This window comes from Homo sapiens, chromosome 13, assembly GCF_000001405.40.
Source record: "Homo sapiens chromosome 13, GRCh38.p14 Primary Assembly".
Classification (NCBI taxonomy): Eukaryota; Metazoa; Chordata; class Mammalia; order Primates; family Hominidae; genus Homo; species Homo sapiens.
Window position 1 is genome coordinate 95478215 of NC_000013.11, and position 23112 is coordinate 95501326.

The following is a 23112-nucleotide window of genomic DNA, read 5'->3' on the forward strand; positions in this document are numbered from 1 at the left end:
TGAGAATCGCTTGAGCCCAGGGAGCTGAGGTTGCAGTGAGCCAAGATCGCACCACTGCACTCCAGCCTGGACAACAGAGTGAGACTCTGTCTCAAAAATAAATAAGCAAGTAAATAAATAAATATAAAAAGCACTGATCCCTGCTTCCAAACACTGGAGATTCAGATTTAATTGAGATAAGGCCAGGATGTAGAGCGTTTACAGAACTCCCCAGGTGATTTAAACATACAGCCATGTTAGAGAACCACTGGCCTTTGCCATACGGAAGATATAATGTGCTGTACCAGGACCAGAGAACAGAGAAACAGAGGAATCAGATGGTTTGAGAGCAAGACCAGGAGTGTGCAGGTCTGCCCGGTGGGTGGGGTGAACAGGGAGGGTGCGCCTAGGATCCTTCTCCCCTCCCATCCCCATTTGGCTTCCTGGGCCACGTTCCTCAGCGCTTCGTTGGTTCTTACCCGGATGCTTGTATTCTGCTTCCCCCTAGTGGTGACTTGCAGTATGGCACAGCTGTCGCTGGCGGTTTCATTAAGGTTCCGCGTTCATCACTAACTTGTGACAGTGAGTTACAGCCTGTGGTCTCGACAGGTGGGATCATCCTAAGAATCATGTCCTGTGAGCATCTTCGCCATGTGACTTCAGGAGTTGCTCCCTCACAAGGAGCCTCAGGGAGTTATAGGTCACTGGCCAAGCACTGCCCTGGCACAGGGCTGCAACTGCAGCCTAAGTGGCTTCCTGTGCGTAAGGTTTAAGGAACTTTCATTTTATTAGCCAGTGGTTAAGTGCCTGTGAGAGCAATCATCAGCAGGTGCAGTGGTAGAAGATAACAAGCTTCCTAATAAATAGTGGCCACCGGCCGGGTGCAGTGGCTCATGCCTGTAATCCCAGCACTTTGGGAGGCCGAGGCAGGCAGATCACGAGGTCAGGAGTTCAAGAACAGCCTGGTCAACATGGTGAAACCGTATCTCTACTAAAAATATAAAAATTAGCCGGGTGTGGTGGCGGGTGCCTGTAATCCCAACTACTTGGGAGGCTGAGGCAGGGAAAATTGCTTGAACCTGGGAGGCAGAGGTTGCAGTGACCTGAGATCACACCACTGCACTCCAGTCTGGGTGACAGAGCAAGACTCCATCTCGGGGGGAAAAAAAGTGGCCACCACTTAAATCTTTGTAGCAAGAATGGGTTTTACTTAATTATCACATTTCATTCCAATGACAAGCCTGAAGGTATTAGGATTGTCAAATATTTTTATTGCAAATATGCATTACTAAGGCTATTTTTTAAAAAATACTTCGCTATATAAAGTCATATTCTTCTCTGAGATGGACATTTAGCAAAAATAAAGTCACAGACTTAACATTATAGTCATGAATAAATGTTTTAAAATTATGAGGGAGAAAGAACATTAACTAGAGAAAATGTTGCTACATCACTTTCAAAATAAGCACATATTTTAAACAGACATGGTTTGCAGAAGAGGATTCTCATCTTACAGATAAGAAAACAAACCTGGAGACCTTAAGGAACTTGATCAAGGTCACATAGCCAGTGACAGATGCAGGGTTTGAACCCACATTGGCTGGACAGCACTGTCTGTATGTACAGCTCCTCCCACATCCCCTGCAAGAGTCCAGGGGTTCTCACCTGCTCAAGGGTTTGCAACAGAGACTTCACTTGAATCCCTGATTGAGTCTCTGGTTCCTCCAAGCTCCCCTAGTTCCTCTTTGTATTAGTCCATCTTCACACTGCTAATAAAGACATACCCAAGACTGGGGAATTTATAAAGGAAGGAGGTTTAATGGACTCACAGTTCCACATGGCTAGGGAGGCCTCACAATCATGGTGGAAGGTGAAGGAGGAACGTCACATCCTACATGGTGGCAGGGAAGAGAAAACTTGTGCGGGGGAGCTCCTTCTTATAGAACCATCAGATCTTGTGAGACTCACGATCACAAAAACAGCATGGGAATGACCCGCCCCCATGATTCAATTACCTCCCACCGGGTCCCTCCCACGACACATGGGAATTGTAGGAGCTATAATTCAAAATGAGATTTGAGTGGGGTCACAGCCAAACCATATCTCTCTTCTTTCCAGTTTCACATTGACTCAGACACTTCCTTCGGTAGAGCAGTCTCTGAAGGCCCTGTATTAGAGGAGAATGCCCTTGCCCAATCCTGGCAGAAAACCTCTCTCCACAGCTCACACCCAGAGCTGGGCTCAGGCCAGATGCGGAAGAGAGATAATGAGAGAAATAGGAAGCGTCTGAAGCTGGCAGCCATTGTGGTCCCCTGAGCTGGCTGGTTCCTTTTCTTCTCCCCTGAAGCTCCTGCCCACTGGGAGCCAGCTCCTGTCCACCCTACCCCAGTTTCAAGAGTTCCTAAAACTCTGGTGTGAACCAGAACCACTGGGAAACTTGTTAGAATGCAGATCCCTTGGCTCCACCCTCAAAAATTCTGATTCAGGATAATCAAAAACGGGACCCAGGAATTTGCATTTTAAGCAAACAACCCACGTGAATTCTGCTGCATGGGGTCCTCAGAACACACGTTGAGAAATATTCAATAGACACGCTATTCACATTCAAGAGTACCAATGAAGGCCCATAAGCTATGTTGAAATACTTAGAAGTTATCTATCAAGTGAATAAACTGTCAAATATATATACATAACTACATGGCAGGCTAGAATTCCTGGGCTCTATAGCCCAAGCCAGAAGGTAATGGGACAGCAAGAGCTAACCCCCAGCTGCCATCCTTCCCCTTTGTCTTCCCACTTTATGCCATGAGGAACTTGCTTCTTGAGCAAGAGGACACACCATCCATAAATTCAAGCACAGGCACTCTCCGTCCACCCTGTAACAGCTGCATCTTGACCACCTATTGGGCTAGAATGGACCCCAGAGAGGAAGCTGGCATTGACCCTGGAGGCAGAAAATTCCCAGGCACTCAGAGCATGGCCTAGATGGGGAAGAGTTTCCAGGAGGACGCATGCCCTTGACCTTGCAGACTCATAATTTTAAAACATTTATGACTAACTATAATGTTAAATCTGTGACTCAGTGCGGACCTTGCCTGCACTGAGGGGAAGGGCAGCAGAGGATGGCCGGGGCAGAACCCTCTAAGCTGACATTTCTCCAACATTCATGGGAATAGAAATTTCCTGGGATCTGAATCAGTAGGTCTAGGGCAGGGACCAAGATTCTGCGTTTCTAACAGCCTCCCAGGTAAAGCTGGTGAGGCTGGTCTTCAGACCACAGAATGAAGCAGCAAAGCTGTAAAGCAGGGGTCAGTACCAGGTAGTAAACTTTTAGTCTCTGAGGGCCATGTGGTTTCTGTGGCAATTATTCAACTCTGCTGTTGGGCATGAGAACAGCCACAGATGATATTTAAGAGAATGAGCATGGCTGTGTTCCAGGAAAACTTCATTTGTGAACACTGAAATTTGAATTTCAGATAATCTTCCTATGTTGCAAAATATTCTTCTTTTGGGTTCTTTCCATTATTTAAAAATGTAAAAACTCGATCAGGCACAGTAGCTCACGCCTGTAATCCCAGCATTTTGGGAAGCCGAAGTGAGTGGATCACCTGAGATCAGGAGTTGGAGACCAGCCTGAGCAACATGGCAAAACCCCATCTCTACTAAAAATACAAAATTAGCTGGGTGTGGTGGTGCATGTCTGTAATCCCAGTAACTTGGGAGGCTGAGGCAGGAGGATCACTTGAACCCAGGAGGCGGAGGTTGCAATGAGCAAAGATCGCACCACTACACTCCAGCCTGGGCGACAGAGTGAGACTCTGACTCAAAAAAGTAAAAACTCAATCATAACGTAACTTAATTGTACATGTAAAAATAAAAGAGTATAATTGGATTGTTTGTAACACTAAGGATAAATGCTTGAGGGGATGGATACCCCATGTTACATGATGTGCTTATTTCACATCGCATGCCTGTATCAAAACGTCCCATGTACCCCATAAATATATACACCTACTATGTACCCACAACAATTACAAATTTAAAAATTTACAAAAGATTTTTAAAATGTAAAAAACATTTTTTACATAGGCTATACAGAAACAGGTCTGGATGGGGAGGTTAGATTTGGCCCAAAGTCTGTAGTTTGTTGACCCCTTCTCTAATATATATGGCCCAAGTCAGGCGCCGTGCACAGCTGGGTCTAAGAGCTGTGCTGATCTACAAAGCCCACATGAAGCTGCTGTGGCAGAAAGGGTCTAGAGCCTCACTGAGTCATGTCTTTTGGGGATAGATGGGTCTTCTAGGTGCCCATCAAATCACACCTTCTCGGGCTGCCTTCAGTGCACACCTATGAGACCAATCTTGCTGATCCAGGGCAGGAAGTCTAGTCCAGATCCACCCTGCTGTGTTACCCAGGAGCTCAGATTCAGTCTCAGAACCATCTGGATTGTTTTATTCTCATGATGTACTTAATCCTGATTGAAGTATAAATGAATAAACTGGCTGGGCGCGGTGGCTCACGCCTGTAATCCCAGCACTTTGGGAGGCTGAGGTGGGTGGATCACCTGAGGTCAGGAGTTTGAGACCACCCTGGCCAACATGGTGAAACCCCCATCTCTACTAAAAATACAAAAAATTAGCTTGGCATGGTGGCGTGTGCCTGTAATCCCAGCTACTCCGGAGGCTAAGACAGGAGAATCTCTTGAACCCAGGAGGCAGAGGTTGCAATGAGCCAAGATCGTGCCACTGTACTCCAGCCTGGGCAACAAGAGCGAAACTCCATTTCAAAAATAAATAAATACATAAATAAGCCCATTAAACATCACGAATTTAATGTGAGGCCAACATTCTTACTGGTGAGAAATGATTCTCCATCGTTCTTGGGAGAAAGTGACGCTGCCCGTCCTCAGGCCTGGGAGCTGCTGAGGAGGGGAGAGTGAGGAGGTTGGTTTATGTAAAAGGTGTGGCACTGCCACTCTGTGCAGATTCCTGGAGGATTCACCTGACTACTTATTGATTTTTCATTGAACAGCTTTCTCCTCGTTCAGACTGTGGGCTCTCTGAGAAGATGGGGAAACATTATTTGGGAGATTTACCCTTAGGGTGAAAATTATCTAAGCTTATTTCTCAATTTCCCTCTCCTCCCCTCATTTCTCATCTCTAATTTTTTTTCTTTCTTTTTTATTAAAATTTTTTGTAGAGACATGGTCTCACTATGTTGCCCAGGCTGGTCTTCAACTACTGAGCTCAAGCAATCCTCCTGCTTTGGCCTCCCAAAGTGCTAGGATTATAGGCATGACCCACTGTGCCCGGCCTCTTAATTTTTTAAGCATCACAGGTTGTATCCCCAGAAACCAGACTCTAAAGAGGCATTTCATGAAGGCGTGCCTGTGGGAGGGACCACACCTGTGGAAGGTAGGGGACAGAAGCAGGAGTGGGCAGAGCAGTGACGTTGAGCTACAACCCAAGGCTGACAGTCTCAGCAAACCTCACCAAGAGCTCTGGAGTTAGGTGGACTTTTAGAAACATGCCAAGCATGGCTGAGCTGGCCAAGCCCTTATGCTCCACCATCCATTGGTCACTCGATATGAGCTTCCCCAGGCATGAGTGTGCTATGGTCTGAATATTTGTGTCCCTCCAAAACTCGTATGTTAAAATGCTAACCCCCAAGGTGATGGTATTGGGATGTGGGGCCTTTGGGAGGTGATTAGGTCACAAGGATGGAGCCCTCGGGATGGGATTAGTGCCCTTATAGAAGACACCCCAGAGAGGTCCCTCCCTTATCCCTTCCACCACATGAGGATACAGTAAGAAGACATTCTCTATCAGTTAGGAAGCCAACCCTCACCAGGCATCAAATTTGCTGGTGCCTTGACTTTGGCCTTCCCAGCCTCTAGAATTGTGAGAAATACATTTCTGTTGTTTTTGAACTACTTAGTCTCTGGTAGGATAGCAGCCCAAAAGGACAAAGATAGGGCATGTCCTTGGGTGAGGCAGCTCTCTGCAGCTCAGTCACTTTCTGAGAGGGCTAAGAGCTACAGGCTGACTGCAGCAGCACTTCTAGCAGCTGGGGCCTGATGTCCTTCACTGTCCTTTCTGGGCAGCATATCACAGTATCCACTGCACACCACTCGGCTATCATTCTGTTCAGATACTTCTTGACTGGTCTTTCTACTTCTAATTTGTTCCATGTAGAATCTATCCTAAACACTACTTCCCTAATCTTTCTTAAAGGAAAATATTGGTAAAATATTTCATAGTCTGTCATTATGAATAATTTTATATGTCATTCCCCTGAAAAGAGGTGTTACAAGGTCAAGTTTTTTCAGTTATGCAGGAAATGTAAGTGTGTAAAGAAGCAGGATGAGGCCAGGTGTGGTGGCTCACGCCTGTAATCCCAGCACATTGGGAGGCCAAGGTGGGCAGATCACTTGAGGTCAGGAGTTCAAGACCAGCCTGGCCAACATGGCGAAACCCCGTCTCTACTAAAAATACAAAAAAAAAAAAAAAAAACCCACAAAAATTAGCCAGGTGTGGTGGCAAGCACCTGTAGTTCCAGCTACTCGGGAGGCTGAGGCACAAGAATCGCTTGGACCCAGGAGGTGGAGGTTGGAATGAGCCAAGATTGTGCCACTGCACTCCAGCCTGGGTAACAAAGTGAGACCCTGTCTCAAAAAAAAAAAAAAAAAAAAAAAAAAAAAAGAAGCAGAGTGCAATACAACATGGTATGATGGGGTCTTATTTAGTTTGATTTAGTTTGCCTCCACTTCACCCCACTGGTGAGGGAGGGATTCCGCCCTAGAGTTGAGAGGATGGTTGAATGTACAACATCCAAGCCTAGACAGATGAGATGGGCAGCAGGTAATTAGTCACATATGCTCATGGCCCAGGGAAGGACGACACTGCCCCACAGAGAGCCACGTGGGGGTTGCAGCTGGGAACAGAGTGAACCACCAGGAAGCTGTGGGAGGCAGGCTTTGTAGTAACAAGAGGGCGAGGTGCCCCTGGTTCCTGTAAGAGGATGTGTTTGGTTTGCTTGGATAATTCTACAGGCTGACGGGGACCTGAAGCCTAGCACTGCGCCTGGTCCCTTTGATAAGGAGGGTTGCTTGGCTAGAGGACTTTATCCACCAGGAGCAGAGTGGGAGGAGAACTTGCAGTTAATCCATTTGAGCCTCTGTACCCTGATTTTACCAGCCTCCATGGTCAAGGCAGCACTTAGTTTTGAATCTTAATTTCAGGCCTTACACCACAGGTCTATGAGTCATTGGAGCTGAATTTCCTATCCAAAGGTATTCAAAATTATTTTCAAATCTGATCTGGCCAAACAGAATTCTACCATTCATCACTGCTGGTTTTCAAGCCCGGGCCCACTCCAGATTCCCTAGAATGGCACATCAGGGCATTCCTAATCAGGCCTAATCCATATCTCCTTTCTCATCATCCCTGCTAAATTTCAGCCTGAGTTTACACACATTCACTGGACAACTTGTGTTTTTGGCATACTCAGCTGTATGTTTTTCCTCACTCTATTTCCTCCAGATAAGGACTAGAAATTCTAGCCGTGCTTTGAGGCCAACTCAAATGTAACCTCCTCTGGGGTGACTTTCCTGGGCATTGCAGGATAAGTGCCTGGATGGCCTTGATAACCCAGCTCTTCCCCCATTTTTCACTTGTAGTTCTCAGAATAATGCTAGAATGTGCTGGAAACAACATTCTGAGATAAGGAAAAGCTGTCCAGAATATGCCAGATTCTGTTTCTGTTCCTCTTAGGACAAGATGTCCTCCAATGCTGTGGTCCAGTGATCCCAGTTTCCCCCCAGGGTATAAAACCCAGAGTGGAGTGCTTTCAGAGTGCCTCAGCTACAGTGCATTGTGGGGCATGTGCAGACAAGACTCCATCCATTCTGAGTAGCTTCCTGAGCCTTGCAGAATCAGCTCGCAATGGATGCTAGGCTTCTGTTGTGCCTTGCTGCCTATCTGTGATGAATAAAGTTGCTTTGCCTAACTTGTTCTGTGAGTGTTCTGTCTCCCTCAACTCCTGCAAGTGGTAGAAATTGCAGCCCAAGATGCAATAGGCGCATTTTGGGAGGCCGATGTGGGTGGATCACTTGAGGTCAGGAGTTTGAGACCAGCCTGGCCAACATGGCAAAACTCCGTCTCTACTAAAAATACAAAAATTAGCCAGGCATGGTGGCGTGCGCCTGTAGTCCCAGCTACTCTGGAGGCTGAGGCAGGATAATCACTTGAACCTGGGAGGTGGAGGTTACAGTGAGCCAAGATCGCACCACTGCACTCCAGCCTGGGCAACACAGTGAGACCCCATCTCAAAAAAAAAAAAAAAAAAAAAGATGCAATTGGCAGAAGTATCTGGACTCCTCTTCCTGGTGGTTGGTTGGCATAGTGATGATCTTTGCTATCCTCCATGTAGTAGGATCTCCCCTGGAATTGGTAACCAGAGTACAGTGAACCTGCCTCACAGGCATCTCAAACAGAATGAAAGGTGCCTTGCTTTTTATTCCTAAAGATTTTTCTTTTTCCATCCTGGCCATATGATTCAGTAGCCACATTTTAGCCTCTCAGTTGTGCATGTGCCTCCACCTGGCCACGTTGTGAGCTCTTTGGGGAGGCAGAACTACACTCTCCCTTTACCGCCTCAGTGTTCAACATGGTGCCTGATACTTGGGTGCTCAATCAATGAGTTGCACATGGAAAATTTAAAGAAATAAGGTTTTTGGTGGAGAAAAGAGGTGAAAAGTCATGGCCAAAATGAAGTGGAGATTTTGCTGTTGTCGCTGTGCTATCGTCTTTGTGTTGTGTTTCGCACGGATTTGAACTGTCCGTGTCCAGCCTGTTGCTCTTTAGCATGATTCTAACCTACACCTATGGGTGTTCTCTGCATCTATCTCCTGATTAAGCACATGCTATTCTCACAGGCAATTTGTTCTGGCAGCCTATGATGTCATTTCTAGGAGAACACTCTTGTCCAGTCTCTGCTATCCTAGCATCCTCTTGCTCAGAACTGAAGTTTCCCAAGAAGACTATCTCCTGTTTGCAGGACTTACTTTTCTATTTTTCCCTTAGAGGGTTACCTATGAAGAGAACTTTACACTGATATAAAGTCATCACAAAATCATTTTTGAATATTCAGTACAAATAATGCTGAAGACTGGCTAAAGAGTATGTTATCACTGCTCTAAGCTTTGCATTTGGGTTCATCTGTGGAAGCATAGTAATTCTTGAAATTTCCTCTGCACTTCTCTTAGTTTATCTCTTTCTGTCATGTAGAAGTTATTCATGTTCACATTTTATCTTCCCTCCTAGACCAGGAGTTTCATTAGGAAAAAAAGAAATTTTTCATTATAGAGAATTTGAAACATATACAAAAATAACAGAGAAGAGTATAAACTCTCACATACTTCATGAACTCATGGACAATGTTGTCACATCTGTACTCCCATTCCCTATGGTTCTAAGTTTTTCTAATTTTTTAATTTTTGAGATGAGATCTCACTCTGTTGCCCAGGGTGGAGTGCAGTGGCGTGATCATGGTTCACTGCAGCCTTGACCTCCCAGATTCAAATGACCCTCCCACCTCAGCTTCCCGAGTATCTAGGACTACAGGTGCACACCACCATGCCTGGCTAATTTTAAAAAATTTTTTTGTAGAGACAGGGTCTCACAGTGTTGCTCAAGCTGGTCTCGAACCCCTGGGCTCAAGTGATCCTCCTGTCTCAGCCTCCCAAAGTGCTAGGATTACAGGCATGAGCCACTGAGCCTGGCCTAATTTTTTTTCTTTTCTCTTTTTTTGAGATGGAGTCTCGCTCTGTCACCCAGGCTGGAGTGCAGTGGCGTGATCTCGACTCACCACAACCTCCACCTCCCGGGTTCAAGCAATTCTCTACCTCAGCCTCCCAAGGAGCTGGGATTACCAGCGCCTGCCACCATGTCCGGCTAATTTTTGTATTTTTAGTAGAGACAGGGTTTTACCGTCTTAGCCAGGCTGGTCTCAAACTCTTGACCTGGGTGACAGAGTGAGACCCCATCTCAAAAAAAAAAAAAAAAGAAAGATGCAATTGGTGGAAGTATCCACCCACCTCGGCCTCCCAATGTAATAGAATTACAGGTGTGAACCACCATGCCTGGCCTCAAATTTTTTTTTTAACAATTTTTTAACAATTTTTTTTCCATAAGTTATTGGGGTACAGGTGGTATTTGGTTACATGAGTAAATTCTTTAGTGGTGATTTGTGAGATTTTGGTGCATCCATCACCCGAGCAGTATACACTGCACCATATTTGTAGTCTTTTATCCCTTGCCCCCTCCCACTCTTCCCCCCAAGTCCCCAAAGTCCACTGTATCATTCTTATGCCTTTGCATCCTCATAGCTTAGCTCCCACATATCAGTGAGAACATATGATGTTTGGTTTTCCGTTCCTGAGTTCCTTCACTTAGAATAATAGTCTCCAGTCTTATCCAGGTCACTGCAAACACTGATAATTCATTTCTTTTTAGGTCTGCGTAGTATTCCATCATATATATATATATGCCACTATATATATACCACAATCTCTTCATCCACTTGTTGATTGATAGGCATTTGGGTTGGTTCCAGGATTTTGCAATTGTAAATTGTGCTGCTGTAAACATGCATATGCAAGTATCTTTTTGGTGTAATGATGTAATGACTTCTTTTCTTCTGGGTAGATACCCAGTAGTGGGATTGCTGGATCAAATCATAGTTCTACTTTTTGTTCTTTTTTTTTTTTTTTTTTTTGAAACGGAGTTTCTCTCGTCACCCAGGCTAGAGTGCAATGGCATGATCTCTGCTCACTGCAACCTCCGGCTCCTGGGTTCAAGTAATTCTCCTGCCTCAGCCTCCCGAGAAGCTGGGATTCAGGCACTCACCACCACGCCAGGCTAGTTTTACTTTTTAGTAGAAATGGGGTTTCACCATGTTGGCCAGGCTTGTCTTGAACTCCTGACCACAGGTGATCCACCTGCCTTGGCCTCCCAAAGTGCTGGGATTACAGATGTAAGCCACCACGCCCGACCCTACTTTTAGTTCTTTAAGGACTCTCTACACTGTTTTCCATAGTGGCTGTTTATACTGTTTTCCACTGTGGCTAGTTTACATTCCCACCAGCAATGCAGAAGGGTTCCCTGTTCACTGCACCCATGCCAACGTCTACTGGTTTTTTTTTTATTTTTTGATAATGGCCATTCTTGCAGAAGTGAGGTGGTATCGCATTGTGGTTTTGATTTGCATTTCCCTGATCATTGGTGATGTTGAGCATTCTTTCATATGTTTGTTGGCCATTTATATATCTTCTTTTGAGAGCTGTCTGTTCATGTCCTTGGGCCACTTTTTGATGGGATTTTTTTTCTTACTCATTTGAGCTTGTTGTATATTCTGGATATTAGTCCTTTGTCAGATGTATAGATTGTGAACATTTTCTCCCACTCTGTGGTTGTCTGTTTACTGTGCTGACTGTTCCTTTTACCATGCAAAAGTTCTTTAGTTTAATTAGGTCCTAGCTATTTATCTTTGTTTTTATTGCATTTGTTTTTGGGTTCTTGGTCATGAAATCCTTGCCTAAGCCAATGTCTAGAAAGGTTTTTCCAATGTTATCTTCTACAATATTTATAGTTTCAGGTCTTAGGTTTAAGTCCTTAATCCATCTTTAGTTGATTTTTGTTTAAGGTGAGAGATGAGGATCCAGTTTCATTTTCCTACATGTGGCTAGCCAATTATCCCAACACCATTTATTGAAAATGATGTCCTTTCCCCCAGTTTATGATTTTGTTTGCTTTGTTGAAGATCAGTTGGCTGTAAGTATTTGGGTTTATTTCTGGGTTCTCTATTCTGTTCCATTGGTCTGTGTGCCTATTTTTATACCAGTACCATGCTGTTTTGGTGACTATGGCTTTATAGTATAGTTTGAAATCAGGTAGTGTGATGCCTCTGGATTTGTTCTTTTTGCTTAGTCCTGGTTTGGCTATGTGGGCTCTGTTTTGGTTCCACATGAATTTTAGAATTGTTTTTTCCAACTCTGTGAAGAACGATGGTGGTATTTTGATGGGGATTGCATTGAATTTGTAGATTGCTTTTGGCAGTATGGTCATTTTCACAATATTAATTCTACCCATCCATGAGCATGGGATGTGTTTCCATTTGTTTGTGTCATCTATGACTTCTTTCAGCAGTGTTTTGTAGTTTTCCTTGAAGAGGCCTTTCGACTCTGTATCCCAGGGGTTTTGATAGGCTGTGTCATTATTGTCATTCAGTTCAAAGAATTTTTAAATTTCCATCTTGATTTTGTTTTTGACCCAGTGCTCATTCAGGAGCAGATTACTTAATTTCCATGTATTTGCATGGTTTTGAAGGTTCCTTTTGGAGTTGAATTCCAGTTTTATTCCACTATGGCCTGACAGAGTGCTTGATATAATTTCAATTTTCTAAATCTATTGAGGCTCATTTTGTGGCCTATCACATGGTCTATCTTGGAGAAAGTTCCATGCTCTGTTGAATAGAATGCAGTTGTTGGATGAAATGTTCTGTATATATCTGTTAAGTCCATTTGTTCCAAGGTATAGTTTAAATCCTTTGTTTCTTTATTGACTTTCTGTCTTGATGACCTGTCTAGTGCTGTTAGCAGAGTATTGAAGTCCTCCACTGCTATTGTGTTGCTGTTTATCTCATTTCTTAGGTCTAATAGTAATTGTTTTATAAATTTTGGAGCTCCAGTGTTAGGTGCATATATGTTTAGGATTGTGATAGCTTCCTGTTGAACAAGGTCTTTTTACCATTAATGTCCCTCTTTGTCTCTTCTAACTGCTATTGCTTTAAAGTTTGTTTTGTCTAATATAAGAATAACTACCCCTGCTCGCTTTTGGTGTCCATTGCATGAAATGCCTTTTTCCACCCCTTTACTTTAAGTTTATGTGAATCCTTATGTGTTAGGTGAGTCTTCTGAAGGCAACAGAGAGTTGGTTGGTGAGTTCTTATCCATTCTGTGGTTCTTCTTTTAAATGGAGCATTTAGACCATTTATATTCAATATTGTATTGAAATGTGAGGTCTTCCTCCTCAGGAACATTGATTATTCTTAGGTTTGGTCATTTAACATAATCCCAGACTTCTTGGAGGCTTTGTTCATATTTTATTATTCTTTTTTCTAGGTCTTTGTTGGATTGTGTTAATTTGAAGACCTTGTCTTCAAGCTCTGAATTTCTTTCTTCTGCTTGTTCAATTCTATTGCTGAGACTTTCCAAAGCACCTGACATTTCTAAAAGTATGTCCAAAATTTCCTGAATTTTTAAATTATTTTTTTCTGTAAGCTATCTATTTCCTTGAATATTTCTCCCTTTACTTCTTGTATCATTTTCTGGATACTTTTGCATTGGGCTTCTCCTTTCTCTGGTCCCTCCCTGATTAGCTTAATAACTAACCTCCTGAATTCTTTTTCAGGTAAATCCGGGATTTCTTCTTGGTTTGGATCCATTGCTGGTGAACTAGTGTGATTTTTTGGGGATACTGAACAGCCTTGTTTTGTCATATTACCAGGGTTGATTGTCTGGCTCCTTCTCACTTGGATAGGCTCTGTCAGAGGGAAGGTCTAGGGCTGAAGGCTGTTGTTCAGATTCTTTTGTCCCATGGGGTGTTCCCTTGATGTAGTACACCCCCCTTTTTCCTGTGGATGTGGCTTCCTGTGAGCCAAACTGCAGTGATTATTGTCTCTTTTCTGGGTCTAGCCACCCAGTGAGTCTAGCCAGCTCCAGGCTGGTACTGGAGGTTGTCTGCACAGAGTCCTGTGATGTGAACCGTCTGTGGGTCTCTCAGCCATGGATACCAGCACCTGTTCCAGTGGAGGTGGAGGAGGGTATAATGGACTCCGTGAGGGTCCTTAACTTCGGTGGTTTAATGCTCTATTTTTGTGCTGGTTGGCCTCCTGCCAGGAGGTGGTGCTTTCCAGAAAGCATCAGCTGTAGTCATGTGGAAAGGGACTGGTGGTGGGTGGGGCCCTAGAACTCCCAAGATTAAATGCCCTTTGTCTTTCCCTACCAGGGCGGGTAGGGAAGGACCATAAGGTGGGGGCGGGGCTGGGTGTGTCTGAGCTCAGACTCTCCTTGGGCAGGTCTTGCTTCAGCTGCTGTGGGGGATGGGGGTGGGATTCCTAGGTCACTGGAATTGTGTACCTAGGAGGATTATGGCTGCCTCTGTTGAGTCATACAGGTTGTCAGGGAAGTTGGGGAAGGCTGGCAATCACAGGCCTCACCCAGCTCCCACAGAAACCGAAGGGTCGGCCTCACTCCCACCGTGCCTCCCCCAACAGCCTCGAGTCTGTTTCCTGGTGGAGGGTGAGATGGGCTTGAAAACTTGCCCAAGGCTTTTTCCCTTCCAGCTGTGGAAGAAAAGGGCTTCAGTTCTTCCCCCTGCATGTGAAGTCTGCACACCAGATTCATGCTCTCCCCTAGGTTCTGGTCAGGAGGCTTCTTGCCCCTTTCAAATTGTTATAAAGTTCAGCTAGAGAATTCCTTCTCCCTATGGAGTTTTACCCCCTTCTCCTCTGGCCACCCTCCTGATGGATCCCTGTGGTGTCAGGCAGGAATGGGCTGCTTGGGGACCCAACGAGCTCCCAGGACCTTTCTGCTGCTTCCTCTACCCTTGTATTTTGCTCGGCTCAGCTCTCTAACTTGACTCAGCTTGAGGTAAAGTTGGAAACTTCTCCCAAAAACAGACCTTCCGCTTCCCCAGTGGTGATGTGTGTTTGGAAGAGGAGGGTCCCCCTTTCCCACTTCCGCAGTTGGGGCACTCACAGTATTTGGGGTGTCTCCTGTGTCCTGCAGGGGCAGTCCGCTTCCTTCAGAGGGTCTGCGGCTCCTCTCAGGATTGCTGGTTTGTTCTTGCAGTTGATCTGGAGGGTTATTCTCCAGCTGAGGGTAAGGGTCAGTGGACCCTGCAACTCTGCAGTTCCACCTCTGCCACCCCTGCCGCTACCGCCAAGCCAGTGACCTCAGGTACCTTCCCTGCCCCACCCACCCAGACGGGTGCCCCTTCCTTGCCAGCCCAGGTGCACCCACCTGGCCCTAATTTTTTTTTTATTGTGCTAAAAAATACATGTTATAACTTTGCATTTTAATCATGTTTAAGTATACAGTTCAGTGGTATTAAAGACATCCGCATTGTTATGCAACCATCACCACCACCCATCTCCAGAAAAGAGTTCTTACAAAACTAAAACTCTGGACCCATTAGATGGTAACTCCCCACTTCCCCTCCCCCAGTCTCTGGTAATCATCATTCTACTTTTTGTCTCTGTGAATCTGACACTCTAGATACCCTATATATTTGCCTACCCCCACTTTTTTTTTTTTTTTTTTGAGACACAGTCTCACTCTGTCACCTAGGCTGGAGTACAATGGCATGATCTTGGCTCCACTGCAACCTCCACCTTCCGGGTTCAAGAGATTCTCCTGTCTCAGTCTCCCGAGTAGCTGGAATTACAGGCACATGCCACCACGCCCAGCTAATTTTTGTATTTTTTGTAGAGATGGGGTTTCATCATGTTGGCCAGGCTGGTCTCAAACTTCTGGCCTCAAGTATTCAGCCCGCCTCAGCTTCCCAAAGTGCTGGGATTACAGGTGTGAGGCACCATGCCCGGCCATATTTGTCCTTTTGTGTCTGGCTTATTTCACTTAGCACGTTTTCAAGGTTCATCCACGTTGTGCATGTATCAAAATTGCTAATACTATTTTAAATCATGTTACACATATCATTTTCGCTCATTCATAAATATCTTACTATGTGTCTCTAAAAGATAAAGACGTTTTAACATAACCACAATACCAATGTCACACCTAAAAATAAACAATTAAAAAATAATAGGAAATAAAAAAGGTAGTAATTCCTTACTACCATCAAATACCCTTCCAGTGTTCAAATTTTGAATTGCCTCATAAAAGATAGATTCTCCACCGTTCTTGAGTACAGAATTCCTGTTTAATTTGTCCTGACAACCTTCCTCTCCCCATAGTAGCTGTCTTGCACACAAAAGATGCTGTCATACTACATTTCACCAATAGGTGGCACGAATAATCATGACATTTGCTAAATCCAGTTGGTATTTACACAAGAGGAAACATCATTTGCAGAAAGTTGGCAATTATAGGTAAATATACAAACACAGAAATTGAAAATAGCCTGTTTGCTCTATGTAACACGCATAAAACCTGAATACATCCCAATTCTAAGGGATAATTATTGATATCATTCAAACTTTCTATTTGTTTTAAGGAGAACATGGAAAACGTATTTCTTGGTGTTGACGTTTATCTCTACAATGTCAACATTTTTAGTGTTAAATAATTGAGGCCAGTTATGTTTATTTATTCTTCCGCTTAATAAAAGAAAAAGTAAATAGAATCTACTTGTACAATTGATTGCTGTGTTAAATGCCCGTTACAAATGTATTGTCTGAATTGTATTAAGTGTACTTATCTCTGAATAAAACAGTTGCTTTCCCAAACTTCCTCTAGCGTGTTCTGAAGAACAGAGAATCTTAGGATGGTAGATACGGACAGGGCCTTTAAGACCACCTAGTCTGGCCCCATCATCTGACAGATGAACAGACATGAAACCTCATCGTAAGATCACACAACACCTTGATGGCTTTTGTGTAATTTGTTATCTTTCTGCCAGCAATCTCACCTTCTCCCCTCCACCCCTACTCTTAAAAAACTAACTGCTTGGTAAAATTAATATTTCATTTTAAGGATGCAAAACCCAAATTGTGCAATTAATCCTCCCTTTCTTGTCCTTTCAATATAATTAATTAATTAATTAATTAATTTTTTTTTTTAGATGGAGTCTCTCTCTGTTGCCCAGGCTGGAGTGCAGTGGTGCAATCTCAGCTCACTGCAACCTCCACCTCCTGAGTTCAAGCGATGCTTCTGCCTCAACCTCCTGAGTAGCTGGGACCACAGGAACATGCCACAACCTCTGGCTAATTTTTGTATTTTTTTGTAGTGACGGGGTTTCATCATGTTGGCCAGGCTGGTCTCGAAGTCCTGACCTCAAGTGATCTGTCCGTCTTGGCTTCCCAAAGTGCTGGGATTACAGGCGTGAGCCACCGTGCCCTGCCCCTTTGCATATATTTAGCAAATATTTATTGGGTATTACCAGGACTAAACAAGATCTTGTTCCCTTGGTCAACTGAGCCTTTTATTTGAGTCCATGTCTTGTAATTTCCTAGAAAGAAATGAAGCTCGGCCAGGCGCGGTGGCTCAAGCCTGTAATCCCAGCACTTTGGGAGGCCGAGGTGGGTGGATCATGAGGTCAGGAGATCGAGGCCATCCTGGCTAACACAGTGAAACCCCGTCTCTACTAAAAATATAAAAATTTAGCCGGGCATAGTGGCGCGCGCCTGTAATCCCAGCTACTTGGGAGGCTGAGGCAGGAGAATGGTGTGAACCCGGGAGGCGGAGCTTGCAGTGAGCCGAGATTGCGCCACTGCACTCTAGCCTGGGCGACAGAGCCAGACTCCACCTCAAAAAAAAAAAAAAAGAAAAGAAAGAAAGAAAGAAAGAAATGAAGCTAACTTTAGGAAATCAGCCTGTAAGGAATTTCTAATGGGCAGTAAATATGACGCTTTTCAGCCCAGATAACATAATAATTCTGAGTCATTTTTTATCCTATCCTCCTATATTCAAATTAACATTTAATACTGGACTGTTCTTTCTGTTCTTAAAATCAGCTCCTCCAGCCAGGACAGGCCCTAAACTCTGCTCTTGAAAGTAGGTTCTCACCAAATTTATCCCAAGAACAACTTCCTTTTATCTTCCCCAGATGTTCCGGAATATTTGGGCTCTTTTCCCTGAAATGGCACTTCCCACATGTTGGATACGGCCCTTTGCCCTTTCTCAGGCTGTGTCTGCATTCTTCTCTCCTCTTTTCAACTACCAAACCCTCGCCTATACAACTTTATGGCTTCATTGGGCAGTTCATCCCACCTGGTAAATAAGCACACATTCACGTCTGACGCATATGCTTCACTTCCAGTAGTACCTTCCAGTGTGTTCTTTGAGATATTCATAAGTGGGGAGATATTCCATAGTCAAAAAGTTTGAGAAGCAATTGTTTAAACAAATTTAAATAGCTTCCTTTACTGCAGGACTTTTCAGAGTCTTTGATTTCAATAGGCATCATTGGTCCTTTAAGATAGGAAGATAGTACTGTATGGGGCATTTTCAAAATTGATTTGATTAAAAAGCACTACCCCTTGTCTTACTGTGCTCAGGCTGCGATTACAAAATACCATAGACTGGGTGGCTTAAACAGCAGACATTTACTTCTCATGGCTCTGGAGGCTGGGAAGTTCACGGTCAAGGGCCGGCAGATTGAGTTCCTGGAGAGGGCACTCCTCCTGGCCTGCAGATGGCTGCCATCTCACTGTGTGCTCATGTTCTGGAGAGTGACCCAGCCCTTGTCTCTTCCTCTTCTTGTAAGGGCACTAATCCCACCACGGGGGCCCCACCCTCATGACCTCATGTAAACCTAATTATTTCCTGAAGACTCCACCTCAAATGCCATCACATTGGGGGTTACAGCTTCAACATATGGATCTGAGGGGGACCCAAGCCTCCAGTACATGACACTCCTTTTGTTTTCCTCATTGCACCATCTGCTACTGGGTTCTGTGGAATGCACATAGGGACACACAAACTCCAGTGCAGGCTCTGGGTCTGAAAACAGACAACCTGAACTCAATCCCAGCTCCACCACTCCCTAGCTGTGGGACTTGGGTAAGTTTCTCAATCTCCCCAGGCCTGTTTTCCAGCTGGAAAACGAGGATAATAGTACCTACCTCATAGAGTTGTTGTGAAGACGAAATGCTTCTATACAGGGCAATACGGGGCCACACAAAGGAAGCACTAAAAAAAAAATGTCAGCTATAATCATGAAATGTCAGTATCAATAATTAACTATAATTAAACAATCTATTATATCGGTTATTAATAAACATATTATAGTGAATGAAACTTATTATGTGGCAATATTTAATTTATTTTGAGGCTGAATATTGAATTCTATGAAAGGATCATGGTCAAGCTTCTATTTTAGGCTCTTAGAGGACAATATAGCATTGAAAGAAAATCACAAGAGAAGCCATGGCAAGCATGAGCCAGGAATCAGAAGCAGTGTGGCTGGGCTTAAGGAAGAAGGGGCCACTGAGCTCAGTGCCAGGACTCTGTGCCAACCGCCACAGCCCTGACAGGAAGCAGAGCTGTTACTCTGCAAAGGACAGACCAGCCACACAAAGAGGGAGGCAGGCCTGCCCATCCTCCCGGCTTTGTGCAGATAGATTTGGACTCGTGGTAGTGTCATCTTTGAATGTGCATTGCAGTTTCACAACCATACCTACCTCACCAAATAATCCTAGAATAGTGAACTTCAACACAAATGTCCCCTGCAATTTCAGGGGCTTAAGTGGTCCCTTTATGTAACAGGCAAAGGATTAGGGCCAGCTGGGAAAATCCAAGTGTTTAAAACCTGTTCAGCACTTTTGCAGCCAAAGAGTAAGTTGCCAAACATTTTTCTCTCAAAAGAAAACAGGCCACTGAATACTAGAAAGGGGAATTCTGGAAGGAAAGAAAAAATCAAAGAAGAGAAGAGAAGTGAAGGGACATCTTGGGAAAAGTAAAATGATGTTGAACTTAAAGGTTTAGGACATTGAGAAGGTAAACTTGAACATTTTTCTTTAAAATAAAAACACAACAAAAAGAGAAACAATACAAGATGATTTTAAAAAGCAAACCAAGGGGAAATTTTTACAGTCTATTAATTTCTAGATGTAATAAAATTAAAACACAGATTCTTGCTTAACAGATCCCAGGAGCATTCAGAGTTATGGATCAGGTTCTTCCTGAGAGGGAATCTGAAGGTCAGTGTGTGACCTGAGGAAAGCACCTCCTTGGAGCTGCCAGGCAGCCCTCATCTCCCAGCATGACTATCCTGCCTTCTCACTACTGTTTCATTGAATCCTCCAGGGATCCACAACGCCAAACTCCAGATCCTCATTCCTTTAGATCCTTCTCCAGCAGCATCACAGTAGGAAACATTCCAAAGAGAATTTCAGTTTCCAGTACAACTACACACACAAGATGTCTATGGGCAAAATATTTTATGGGTGATATACTCTTTTTTCTTTTTTCTTTTTTTGAGACAGGGATTGCTCTGTTGCCCAGGCTGGAGTGCAGTGGTGCCATCACGGCTCAGTGCAGCCTCAACCTCCTGGGCTCAGGTAATCCTCCCACCTCAGCCTCCCGAGTAGCTGGGACTACAGGCACAAGCCACCACGCCTGGCTGATTTTTGTATTTTTAGTAGAGATGGGGTTTCACCATGTTTGCCAGGCTGGTCTCAAACTCCTGGCCTTAAGTGATCCACCCATCTCAGCCTCTGAAAATGCTGGGATTACAAGCATGAGCCATCGTGCCCAGCCTATTCCTCTCCTTTATAATTTTTAAATTGTGATAAAATTAAAATATGCACAACATAAACTTTACCACATTGACCATTTTTGAGTGTATAGCTCAATAGTGTTAACTACGTTCACATTGTTGCACAAGCAATTTCCAGAACTTTTTTATCTTGCAAAACTGAAACTCTGTACCCATTAAAGAACTCATTTCTGCCTCTGCCACTGCCGGGCAACCACCGTTCTATTTTCTGTCTCTATGAATTTGATGACTCTTGATACCTCGTATAAGTGGAATCGCACAGAATTTGTCCTTTTGTGACTGGCTTTTCACTTGGCATAATGTCTTCAATTTTCATCCATGTTGTAGCATGAGTCAGAGCTTCCTTGCTTTTCAAGACTGAATAACATTCCATCGTATGGATAGGCCACATCTTGTTTATCCATTAATCCGTCCATGCCAGGAATACGTTTTAAGAAGTCCATGAAAATGCTTGGAGTTGTGTTTAAAAGAGTTTTATAAGTCATGATTGGCAGCAATTATTAAGCACCCTTTTCTGATTAGCCAGCATTGAAAAGAGACAGGACTGGCCAGGCGCAGTGGCTTACATCTGTAATCCCAGCACTTTGAAAGGCTGAGGCAGGTGAATCACCTGAGGTCAGGAGTTCTAGACCACCCTAGCCAACATGGTGAAACCCCGTCTCTACTAAAATTACAAAAATTAGCTAGGCATGGTGGCAAGCGCTTGTAATCGCAGCTACTTGGGAGGCTGAGGCCGGAGAATCACTTGAACCCGGGAGGCAGAGTTTGCAGTGAGCCGAGATCACGCCACTGCACTCCAGCCTGGGCGACAAGAGTGAAACTCCATCTCAAAAAAAAGAAAAGAAAATAGACAGGACTAAGTGATTTGGATCTGCATGCTGACAGGCAGATAGACAGGCACCGGGGCAGACTGAGCGATCCAGACCTGACCAGCCCTGCTGCCAGTGGAGGTGGAAGGTTCCCAGGAAGGCCTGAGAGTCTGGGAGGGAAACTGCCTAAGGGGGTGATAAATGGAATCAGCAGCGGAGCCCCAACACTGACCCAGGCACTGACAAAGCAAGCCTGACACGTTGGGAAGGGATTTAGCACTAGAAAAAAGTTCCTTTATACCAAGGGTATCCGATCTTTTGGCTTCTCTGGGCCACATTGGAAGAATTGTCTTGGGCCACACATAAAATACATGAACACTAATGATACCTGATGAGCACAAAGAAAAAAAATACCACAAGAAAATTTCATAATGTTTTAAGGAAGTTTACAAATTTGTGTTGAGCCTCATTCAAAGCCATCCTTGGCCCACAGGCAGCCCATAGGCCATGGGTTGGACAAGCTTGCTCTATGTTAAATGTTCCCACCCACCTACCAATTCATGTAGTCTGCAAATACTTACTGACTGCCTGCTATGTGCCAGGCACTGTTCTAAAATTTGAGAATATATCCTCGAATAAAGCCCAAAGGCTCCCCATTCTCCTAGAGTCTACATTCCATTCTATTGAAGTGGAGAGACACACTCTAAACAGATAAATAAACAAGGCTGAGAGGTCAGTAAAACAGCATGTTGCATGCGAGTGAGGCGGGGTCTAAATAAGAATGGGAAGTTAGGGAAAGCATCTCTGGGAAGTACCTATTTAGCCTGAGGCCTCAATGCCTCAAAGGAGTTAGTCGCCATGCAATGATCCAGGAAGGAGAGTGCGCCTGGCAGAGGGAACAGCAAATGCCAAGAGTGAGCCTCAAATGGGAGACAACTCACTACATTTGAGGCCAGTGTTGGAGTAGAGTGAGGGTGGAGTGGGAGGATGGGAGAGGCCAGTTTATGCACAGCTTGTAGCTGAGTACAGAAGGATGTTTCAGGAATGTGTGGAGGAAGGTAAGGGAGGAGGTCTCTGGCAAGTGGAGGAAGGATGCACAGAAAGAAGCAATGCTTGTTGAGGAACAAGAAGCAATTGCTGTGAGTAGGGTCTGGCATGAGTGATGATCAGTGAATGACAAAGTTGGAGAGGTGGGTTGGGGCAAGCCTTTGAGACACCAATAAGAAGCTAATGAAGGGATTTCAACTTTATCCAGCTAACCACCAGAAACCATTAAAAGTTTTTAATTAGAGAAGTGACCTCATTTTCGTTTTAAAAATAAACTTGTTGCTGGGATGGATTTGAATGGAAGGGTGACACAATTCTCCTGGGAAACAAAGAAAATTGAACTGAGCAAAAGGAGTGGAAGAAGCAGAGAGGGCGCGGCATGTAAGGGATACCATCGAGGGCAGATCATTTTGGTCTTTTTAAAAAAATTTTTTTTAATTCTTAATTTTCTTTTTTTTTCTTTTTTACAGAGTATTACTCTGTCACCCAGGCTGGAGTGTAGTGGCATGATCTCAGCCACTGCAACCTCCACCTCCTGGGTTTAAGCGATTCTCCTGCCTCGGCCTTCCAAGTACCTGGGATTACAAGTTCATGCCACCACGCCTCGCTAATTTTTGTATTTTTAGTAGAGACAGGGATTCACCATGTGGATCAGGCTGTTCTTGAACTCCTGACCTCAACTGATCCACCCGACTTGGCCTCCTGAAGTGCTGGGATTACAGGCGTGAGCCACCACATCCAGCCCATTTTTTTTGTT

At 44.3% G+C, this 23112-nt stretch overlaps 1 protein-coding gene and 1 long non-coding RNA gene across 3 annotated transcripts in view, besides 3 other annotated features; one reads left to right on the forward strand and one right to left on the reverse strand.

Annotated features, from left to right (window-relative positions):
* CLDN10 (claudin 10) overlaps positions 1 to 23112 on the forward strand; it is a 146005-nt gene that overhangs the window by 44460 nt on the left and 78433 nt on the right. The gene's annotated exons all lie outside the window — the stretch shown is intronic.
* Positions 394 to 753: an enhancer, noted in NCBI's record as "active region_7878". NCBI's record gives its function as "activates an Ori minimal core promoter by ATAC-STARR-seq in GM12878 lymphoblastoid cells {active_cell/tissue: GM12878}" and the evidence as "EXISTENCE:reporter gene assay evidence [ECO:0000049][PMID:35858748]".
* The window catches only part of CLDN10-AS1 (CLDN10 antisense RNA 1), a 54467-nt gene continuing 32584 nt past the window's right edge, over positions 1230 to 23112 (reverse strand). The window contains exons 3-4 of the long non-coding RNA NR_046533.1: positions 18845 to 18911; positions 1230 to 1748 (exon numbers count right to left, since the gene is read on the reverse strand). This is a non-coding gene — a long non-coding RNA (CLDN10 antisense RNA 1). The remainder of the gene's footprint in view (positions 1749 to 18844; positions 18912 to 23112) is intronic.
* Positions 2092 to 2171: an enhancer, noted in NCBI's record as "active region_7879". NCBI's record gives its function as "activates an Ori minimal core promoter by ATAC-STARR-seq in GM12878 lymphoblastoid cells {active_cell/tissue: GM12878}" and the evidence as "EXISTENCE:reporter gene assay evidence [ECO:0000049][PMID:35858748]".
* Positions 13982 to 14482: an enhancer, noted in NCBI's record as "H3K27ac hESC enhancer chr13:96144450-96144950 (GRCh37/hg19 assembly coordinates)". NCBI's record gives its function as "activates a minimal SCP1, AML or CMV promoter by ChIP-STARR-seq in naive H9 embryonic stem cells {active_cell/tissue: H9 hESC(naive)}" and the evidence as "EXISTENCE:reporter gene assay evidence [ECO:0000049][PMID:30033119]".